Here is a 10,413-nt window from a genome sequence, read left to right on the forward strand (position 1 = left end):
GATGATTTTTGCAAGCTAGTAAGTTTTGTTTTGTTTTACAGTAAAAGTTGTTTTATAAACTTCCTGCTACCTGGAAGTGAGGTGTCTTTAAAGACAATTCAAAGCTTTTGAATTTTATCTTGTGGAGAAGAATTACAGCTTCCTTAATATTTTATTTCTTTTTAATTTTTATAGGTACATAGTAGATCCATATATTTATGGGGTACATGAAATATTTTGATACAGCCATGCAATCTGTAATAATCACATCAGAGTAAATAGGGTATCCATCACCTCAAGCATTCGCCCTTCGTGTTTCAAACAATTCAATTATACTTTTAATTGTTTTTGAATGTACAATGAAATTATTTTTTTACTATAATCACCCTGTTGTGCTAGCACATACTACGTCTTATCCATTCTATCTTTTTGTACCCATTAACCTTCCTCCACTTCCCTCCCCCACCCCCTGCCACCTTTACTACCCTTCCCAGCCTCTGATAACCATTCTTCTACTCTCTATCTTCATGAATTCAATTGTTTTAATTTTTAGCCCCCAAAGATAAGTGAGAAATGCAATGTTTATCTTTCTGTGCCTGCCTTATTGCACTTAATGATCTCCAATTCCAAGCATGCTGTTGCAAATAACAGGATCTCATTCTCTTTATGGCTGAATAGTACTACATTGTGTATATGTACCACATTTTATTTATCCATTTGTCTGTTGATGGATTCTTAGGTTGTTTGCAGATCTTGGCAATTGTGAATAGTGCTGCAATAAACATAGGAGCACAGGTATCTCTTCAATATACTGATATTCTTCCTTTTTTTTTTTTTTTTTTTTTCAGACAGAGTCTCGCTGTCACCCCAGGCTGCAGGGCAGTGGTGCAATCTCGGCTCACTGCAAGCTCCGCCCCCCGGGTTCCCGCCATTCTCCTGCCTCAGCCTCCCGAGTAGCTGGGACTACAGGCGCCGCCACCACGCCCGGCTAATTTTTTGTATTTTTAGTAGAGACGGGGTTTCACCGTGTTAGCCAGGATGGTCTCGATCTCCTGATCTCGTGATCCGCCCGCCTCGGCCTCCCAAAGTGCTGGGATTACAGGAGTGAGCCACCACGCCCAGTGATATTCTTTCTTTGGAGTATATACCTAGGAGTGGAACGGGATTGCTGAATCACATGGTAGTTCTATTTTTAGTTTTTTGAGGACCCTCCGAACTGTTCTCCATAGTGGTTGCACTAATTTACATTTCCATCAAGAGTTTACTAGAATTCTCTTCTCTCCATTATTTGTGATCACCTGCCTTTTGGATAAAAGCCATTTAAACTGGGGTGAAATATCTCATTGCAGTTTTGGTTTGCATTTCTCTAATGACCAATTTTGAGTAGTTTTTATATACCAGTTTGCCATTTGTATGTCTTTTTTGAGAAATGTCTATTCAGATATTTTGTCCATTTTTAAAATTGGATTATTAGATCTTTTTTTCCTTTCGAGTTGTTTGAGATCTTTATATGTTGTGGTTATTAATCCCTTGTCAGAAGGGTAGTTTGCAAATATTTTCTCTAATTGTGTGGGTTTTCTATTCACTTTGTTAATTGCTTCTTTTGCTGTACAGAAGATTTTTAACTTAACGTGATCTCATTTGTCTATTTTTACTTCAGTTTCTTGTACCTGTGGGGTATTACTCAAGAAGTCTTTGCCCACTCCAATGTCCTGGAGAGTTTCTCCAGTGTTTTCTCGTGGTAGTTTTATAGTTTCAGGTCTTAGATTTCAATTTTTAATCTATCTTGATTAGATTTTTGTATATGGCAAGAGATAGGGGTCTAGTTTCATTCTTCTGCTTATGTATATCCAGTTTTCCCATCACCATTTATTGAAGAAACTGTCCTTTCCCCAATGTATGTTCTTGGAATCTTGGTCAAAACTGAGTTCACTGTAGATGTATGGATTTAGTTCTGGGTTCTGTATTCTATTCCATTGATCTATGTGTCTGTTTTTATGCTAGTACTATGCCATTTTCTTTACTATAGTTCTGCAATATAATTTGAAGTAATGGGATTCCTCCAGTTTTCTTCATTTTGCTTAGCATAACTTTGTCTATTCTGGGTCTTTCATGGTTTTAAATAAATTTCAGAGTTGTTTTTTCTGTTTCTGTGAAGAATGTCATTGGCATTTTGAAATGAATTGCAGATTAAGTCTGATCTGTTTCTTTGTTGTTTTTCTGTCTAGAAGATCAGTCCAGTGCTGAAAGTGGGGTGTTGAAATCTCCAGCCATTACTGTGTTAGGGTCTATTGCTCTCTTTAGCTCTAATAATATTTGCTTTATACATCTGAGTATTGCAGTGTTGGGTGGGACCATATATATTTAAAATTGTTAAATTCTCTTGCTCGACTGACCCCTTTGTCATTATATAATGACCTTTGTCTCTTCTTACAGTTTTTGTCTCGAAATTGATTTTGCCTGATGTAAGTATAGCTACTTCTCCACTTTTTTGGTTCCTATTGGCATGGGATATCTTTTTCCATCTCTTTATTTTCAGTTTATGTGTGTCTTTATAAGTGAAGTGTGTTTCTTGTAGCCAACAGATCATTGGGTCTCTTTTTGTAATCTGTTCAGCCATTCTATGTCTTTTGATTAGAGAGTTTAATCCATTTACATTAAATGTTATTATTGCTAAATAAGGACTTATTCCTGCCATTTTGTTATTTGTTTTGTTTTTTGTTTTTTGTTTTTATGGTCTTGTCTTTCTTCCTTCTTTTTTTCCGTCTTTCTCCTAATGAAGCTAATTTTCTCTGGTGATATGATTTAGTTTCTTACTTTTGATTTTGTTGGCATCCATTGTATGGTTGTTGATTTGAGGTTACCATGAGGCTTGCAAATACTATCTTATAACGCATTGTTTAAAGTTGATAACAACTTAACATAATTTACATAAAAAACAAGCAAGCAAAAATAAAACTAACCAAAACTCTACACCTTAACTTCATCCCCCAACTTTTTAAATTTTTGTTGTTTCTATTTATATCTTATTATACCCTGTCTTGAAAAGTTGTTTTAGTTATCACTTTTGATTGGTTCATCATTTAGTCTTTCTATTGAAGAGTAGTTTAAACACCACAGTTATAATGCTCTAATATTCTGTGTTCTTATGTATGCTTACTACTACCAGTGAGTTTAGGGCCTTCAGATAATTACTTATTGCTCATGAACGTTCTTTTTTTTTTCTGATTGTAGTAATCCCTTTAGCATTTCTTGTAGGACAGATTTGGTTTTGATGAAATCCTGCAGCTTTTTTTGTTTGGGAAAGCCTTTATTTCTCCTTCATGTTTGAAGAATATTTCTGCCAGGTATACTATTCTAGGGGAAACATTTTTTTTTTCTTTCAGCACTTTAACTATATCATGCCACTGTCTTCTGGCCTATAAGTTTGCACTGAAAAGTTTGCTGCCAGACATATTGGAGCTCCATTGTATGATGTTTCTTTTCTCTTGCTGCATTTAGGATCTTTTCTTTATCCTTGCCCTTTGGGAGTTTGATTATTAAATGCCTTGAGGTAATCTTCATTGGGTTAAATCTGCTTGGTGTTCTATAACCTCCTTGTTCTTGGATATTAATATCTTTACCTTGGTTTGGGAAGTTCTCTGTTATTATTACTTTGAATAAACTTTCTACCCCTCTTTCTCCGTTTCCTCCTTAAGGCCAATAACTTACATTTGCCTTTTTGAGTCTATTTTCTAGACCCTGTAGGTATGCTTCATTGCTTTTTATTCTTTTTTCTTTTGTCTCTTTGGATATGTATTTTCAAATAGCCCGTCTTCAAACTCACTATTTTTTTTTTCTGCTGGACCAATTTTGCTCTTAAAAGACTCTGGTACATTCTTCAGTATGTCAATTGCATCTTTCAGCTCCAGAATTTATGCTTGATTCTTCTTAATTACTTCAATTTCTTTGTTAAATTTATCTGACAGAATTCAGAATTCCTTCCCTGTGTTATCTTCAATTTCTTGGAGTTTTCTCAACAAAGGTATTTTGAATCCTCTGTCTGAAAGGTCACATATCTCTGTTTCTCCAGGATTGGTCTCTGGTGCCTTATTTAATACATTTGATGAGGTCATGTTTTACTGGACGATCTTGATACTCGTGGATGTTCACCTGTGTCTAGGCATTGACAACATAGGTATCTATTGTAGTTTTCACAGTCTAGGCTTGTTTGTACCCTTCCTTCTTGGGAAGGCTTTCCAGATATTCTAAAGGACTTGGATGTTGTGATCTAAGCTGTATGTGCATTAGGGGGCACCCCAGGCCAATAATGCCATGGTTCTTACAGACTAGAGGTACCACCTTGATGGTCACGTACAAGATCTGGGAGAATTCTCTGTATTACCTACCTAGCAGAGACTCTTGTTCTCTTTCCTTCCTTTCTCCCAAACAGAGTCTCTCTGAGCTGCCTGGAGCTGGGAACAGAGTGACGCAAGCACACCTGTGACCACCACTAGGACTGCACTGAGTCAGACCTGAAGACAGCACAGCACTGGGTTTCACCCAAGGCTTGTTGTAACCACTCCCTGGCTACTGCCTATGTCTGCTGAAAGCCCTGGGGCTCTATAATCATCAAGTGACAAAGCCAGCCACTTCTGTCTTCCTTTCCGGTCAGCAAGTTTCCCCAGGCCCTGGGCAGGTCCAGAGGTACCATCCATCCAGGAGCCAAAGACTACACTCAAAAACTTTAGAAATTTACCTGGTGTTCCATTGTACCAGGGCTAAGCTGGCACTCAAACCTCAAAATGCAGTCTTTCCCCTTTCTAAAGGCAGAGGAACTTCAACCCATGGCCACTGCCATCACAGGTCCACAGGCTACTGCCAGGCTACCACCAATGTTCCCTTAAGGGCCAGGGGCTCCTCAGTCAGCTTGTGGTGAATGCTGCATGGCCTGGGACTCACCCTTCAGAGAAATGGGCTCCGCTCTGGCCTAGGACAGGTCCAGAAATGCCTTTCAAGAGCCAAAGCCTAGAATCAGAGACCCAAGAGCCTCTTGGTGCTCTACCACCCTGTGGCCAACCTGGTACGTAAGATGAAAGAAAAAGTCTCCTTTACATTTCCCTCCACTTTTCTCAAGCAGAAGGAGTCTCTCCCCATAGTCACCACAGCTGGGAATGTGCTGAGTCTCACCTGAAGACAGCAAGTCTCAGAGTCCCCCCAAGGCCCACAGCACACTACCTGGGTATCACTATTGGTTTTTCAGGGCCCAAGGTCTCTTCAGTTATCCAGTGATCAAATCGGCCAGGACTGAGTCCTTCCCTTCAAGGCAGCAGGTTCTCTTCTGCTTCAGGGTATGTCTAGAAATATTGTCCATGAGTTAGGGCCTTGAAAGTGGGCTTCATGACTCTAACCAGTACCCTGTCCTGCTATGGCTGAGCTGATATCTGAGATGCAAAACAAAGTCCTCCTCACTCTTCCCTCTCCTGTTCTCAAGTAGAAAGAATGGGTCTCTTTTAGTACCATGAGCTGTGTGCCAGGGGAGGTGTGGCACCAAGCACTCCCCTAGACATCCCAGCTGGTAGATGGGGATCTCAGTAGATTATATACCCCCCAAGTCCCCTGGCTCTGAGCCCAGGTCAGCACTAAGACTCACCTAGGAATGGCAGTCGTTGTGGCCCACACTGTCATTTAAGCTTATTTAGAGCCCCATAGCACTTTAGCCTGCAGTGGCAGGACTTGCAAGAACTCAAGTTCCAACTGCTAGGATGGGTGATTCCCCTCTGGCTAGGGATGACTTAAATACCCCCTCCATGGGCAGGCATCAGCTGAGTTCATTCCAGTTTTGCTTTCTATTATAACAGGGCAGCACTAAATTCAATACAATGTCTCACAATTACTTCCCTCTCTCTCCCTGAAGCACTCAAATTCTCTCTCTGCACCAAATATCACTGCTGAGAGGTGAGAGAGGGGTGGCATCAGTGATTCAAGACTGTTTTTCCTACCTCTTCAGTGCCTCTTTTCAGTAATATGTAGTTAAAACAATGTACTGTGAGTGCACACCTGATTTTTGGTTCTTATGAAGATGCTTTTATGCGTGTAGATAGTTATTAAATTGGTGTTCTTGCAGGGGGGGACGATCGGTGGAGTCTTTTATTCTGCCATCTTGTTATGCCTCCTCCCAAGTTACACCTTCTAAAAAACAACCTCCAACAGGGCTTTGTGAGAAACTAAGATGATAAGACATGAAAGTGTATTGAAAATTGTAAAAATTAATTCTAGGGACAAAATAACATAGACTTAATTTTCTCTGTTCCTCCCCTCTAAATACATCTAAATACTCTGAAAATAATTTAACAGCCAATCATAAAAAGACTCTGACATGTGGAAAGGATACATTAAACTATAAAAGATGCTCGAGACTTGAGGAGTAACACCACAGTGAATTTCCTGGATTTTTTTTCTTTATATCTCATATATCTTAGACTGTGGACCAGAGAGGGCTGCAATCTGGAACTGCCAAAAGACATAGAAAAAGAAAAGAAAAGAAATGAAAACAAAAGAAAAGAAAATGAAAGAGGAAAGGAAGAAAGAAAGAGAAAGAAAGAAGCAAAGCTTGCTCTCTCTGGGAAAAGGACTATGAAAGGAAAAGCCTAACTTTCCTTCCATGGAGGCACCAGCAGAGATAGAATATGACAGCCACTGGCACTAGGTACGTGGAGAATAGGTCAAGGGAGATGCTCTCCAATCGTCCCCCTCACAATGGCCCATGGAAGAACCCTCCATCCTCAAAGCAAACCAGCAAATATTTAGTGGGCATTCAAACAGAGCCAGAAGAGCCAAGCCAACCAGATTAGCACTGCAAGGAATTCAAAAACTAAGTTCTTACTGGGATATAACCCAGAAAAGTAGGTCACAACCTATATGCTGAACTGTCGAGTCCAGCTCAGTCAGGGAGGCCCTAACCCAGCAGCACTAAAGGAATTAAAGACACACACACAGAAATATAGAGGTGTAAAGTGGGAAATCAGGGGTCTCACAGCCTTCAGAGCTGAGAGCCCTGAACAGAGATTTACCCACATATTTATTAACAGCAAACCAGTCATTAGCATTGTTTCTATAGATATTAAATTAACTAAAAGTATCCCTTAAAGGAAACGAAGGGATGGGCCAAATTAATTGCAGCAGGAACACGCCCTTAAGACACAGATTGCTCATGCTTTTGTTTGTGGCTTAAGAATGCCTTTAAGCAGTTTTCCACCCTGGGTGGGCCAGGAGTTCCTTGCCCTCATTCCCATAAATCCACAACCTTCCAGCTTGGGCGTTATGGCCATTATGGACATGTTACATTGCTGCAGAGATTTTATTTATGGCCAGTTTTGGGGCCAGTTTATGGCCAGATTTTGGGGGGCTTGCTCCCAACACTGAACCTAAACAGAAACCTCCTATTAAAATAAAATATTTAAATAGGATCAAAATGTCCTAACTTAATATTTAAAATATCCAAGATACAGTAAAAAAATCACTCAGTATACCAACAACCAAGAAAAGTGAAGCCTGAATGAGAAAAGACTATGAGCTGATGGCAATACTGAGATGAATCAAATGTTGAAAGAATCTGATGAACACTTTAAAGAAATGATTTTCAACTAGTAATTAAAATTTCCCGAGAGAAATGAAAAAAAAGATAAAACATCAGCAAAAACTAGGAATTACAAAAAAAGAACCAAACAGGAATGTAAAACTAAAAAATACACTAACCAAAACAGAAAACTCATTAGATAGGCTCAATAGCAAAGTGAAGTTAAAAGAAGATAGAATCAAGAAATTTGAGGACAGAACAATGGAATTCACTAAATCTGAATAACAAAGAGAAAACAGAAACACATAATTTCCCACCACAATTACCATCCCCAAAATGAACAGTGCCTCAGAAAACTGGCACAATAAGAAAAGAGATATTATTGGAGTTTCAGAAAGAGAGGACAAAGAATTTGGGGCTGGAAAGGTATTCAAAGAAATAATGGCTGAAACTTCCCAAATTTGTGGAATAAATAAGATTACAGAGTCAAAACCTGAGCAAACACAAATAGGGTAAACACAAAGGAATCCACACCAAAACACCTTATAATTGAACTTCTGAAAAATAAAGAAAAAAATATTTAAATCCACCAGGAACAGAAAAAATCAAATGAACAGATTTCTCATCTGAAACTATAGAGGCTAGAAGGAATTAGCATAACATTTTCATGTGCTGAAAGAATTGTCATATGTAAATTCTATATCTGGAAAAAATAGCTTTCAGAAATAAATGAAAAATAAAGGCATTTTCAGATGAAGGAAAACTAAGGAATTTGTTGCAAATAGACATACCTTTAAAGAATATCTAAAAGAAACTCTCCAAACAGGAAGGAAATCATAGCAGAAGGAGGCAAAGAACTTCAGAAAGGAAAGAATAATGGAGTGGTAAAATCAGGGGCAAATATAATACACTACTGTTCTCTTGATGAGTCTCCTAAATCATATTTGATGATAGAAATAAAAATTAAAATAACATCTGTTGTGTCACTCAATGTATGCAGAGAAAATACTTGAAACAACTCTCTTTTTCAAGTTTGGAATTTAAAGGGACCTAAAGGGCAGTTTGATGCTCCACTTGAAGTGGTTAAAGGATGATACCAGAGATTGTCATAACTCACATTTGTCTATTGTTATACTCAGGAAATTATAGAAAACTATATAAAGCAATACACTCAAATAAATCAAGATCAAAGCCTAAAAACTGCTCAAAAATGCACTTGAACGAAATATATGATAAACAGAAGAAAGAGAAACAGAAGAAATAGACAGAAAACAAATCATAAAATGTCAGTAATGCAAATTTAATGCAAATGTGCTTTTAGAATGCAATTGTTTATGAAACAGAACCTGAAATGTGGGCAACTGCTTTAGGAACATATCAATGTCTTAATTTGCATTTTGCTTCAATTTTGCTCTATGATTTAAATGATTTTTGGTGACTTACAAGTGTTGTTTATTATGGTAAGAACATTCCCTTATTTAGACATGAGTGAGAGCTTTTTGATGGAAAATGTCATAACAAAATTTAATTTATTTCCAAATATATAGAAACAAATGATGGCTTTCAGGTTTCAGGGTTCTTATAGATGGATATAGGACTACATACTTCAGTTATTTTAGTCTTAATCCCATGAAGAAGTACAATGATGCAGAAGAAAATGTGATAAAACAGTTAATTGAGATTAAAACAATGGGATTTTTATTTTTACCCAATGAATTAGCAAACACTTAAAACGCTGATAATACCAGTGTCTACGTGAGTTGGGGAAACATTACTCTCTTCCACTGTTAGTACAGTTATCCCATAGGGGAATTTATTAGTATCTATTAAAATTTCAAACATGCAGGTCCTATAACCCAACATATCTACTGCTCACCTATCCTAGAATAACAAGTGTTTACAGTGTTCACATATGTACATCGAAGATTTATAAAAACAAACATTTTGAGACAACCTAAATGTTCATGAATAGGATGGTGACTAAATATTGATATATCTGAACTACAGGATAATATATAATAGGTTTTAAAAATGATGAAGACCTATAAACACTAATATGGAAAGGTATCGGAGTGAATAAAACAAATTGCAAGACAAAATATAGTTAAGATACTATTTATATTTTTAAAACACAAAAAAATTATATATTTCTTTATAGATATATGTAGATAGTTTTATAGAAAGAGGTCTGTCATGATACATCCCAAACTGAGATGCTTAGTAACTCTAGGGATGGATAAAGAAACCAAGATTAAAGATGGCAGCCAAAGATAGATTTTTTTTTTTTGCCTTATTGCTAATAATTTAATTTATGCTAGAAGATTACACTAATATATAGTTTGTATATTTTAAAAATGTGTTCAGGTACAAAACACATGGTTTTTAAATGTATTCAAATAATACAAATTTTAAAGAGCTGCAAACAATCTTTAAAATCTCAAATATGAGTTGCCTGTATAAATCTGACTTTGAGTATTTTTAAATTCCTCTCTTTGTTTTCAGGACACAAACTTCTTGACAGCAGACTACTAGGACACTGCTGGCAGGGACTAGGTCATTTTCAGGAAGGCCCTGCTATGCCTGTAGGGGTTGCCATAGGCACAGTTCATGAGGCTAACCTAGAAAAGTGTTATTAGGAAACAATACATCTTTGCCGAAGGATTTGTTTGGAAGGAGAGAAGACAGAAAATAGTGCACTGAGTCAAAGGTTAGAAGAGCAGGTAAACTGAAAGTTAAGAATGAACTGCATAGTATTCCATGGTGTATATGTGCCACATTTTCTTAATCCAGTCTATCATTATTGGACATTTAGGTTGGTTCCAAGTCTTTGCTATTGTGAATAATGCCACAATAAACATACATGTGCATGTGTCTTT

The sequence above is a fragment of the Homo sapiens genome, chromosome 3 (genome assembly GCF_000001405.40).
Source record: "Homo sapiens chromosome 3, GRCh38.p14 Primary Assembly".
Classification (NCBI taxonomy): Eukaryota; Metazoa; Chordata; class Mammalia; order Primates; family Hominidae; genus Homo; species Homo sapiens.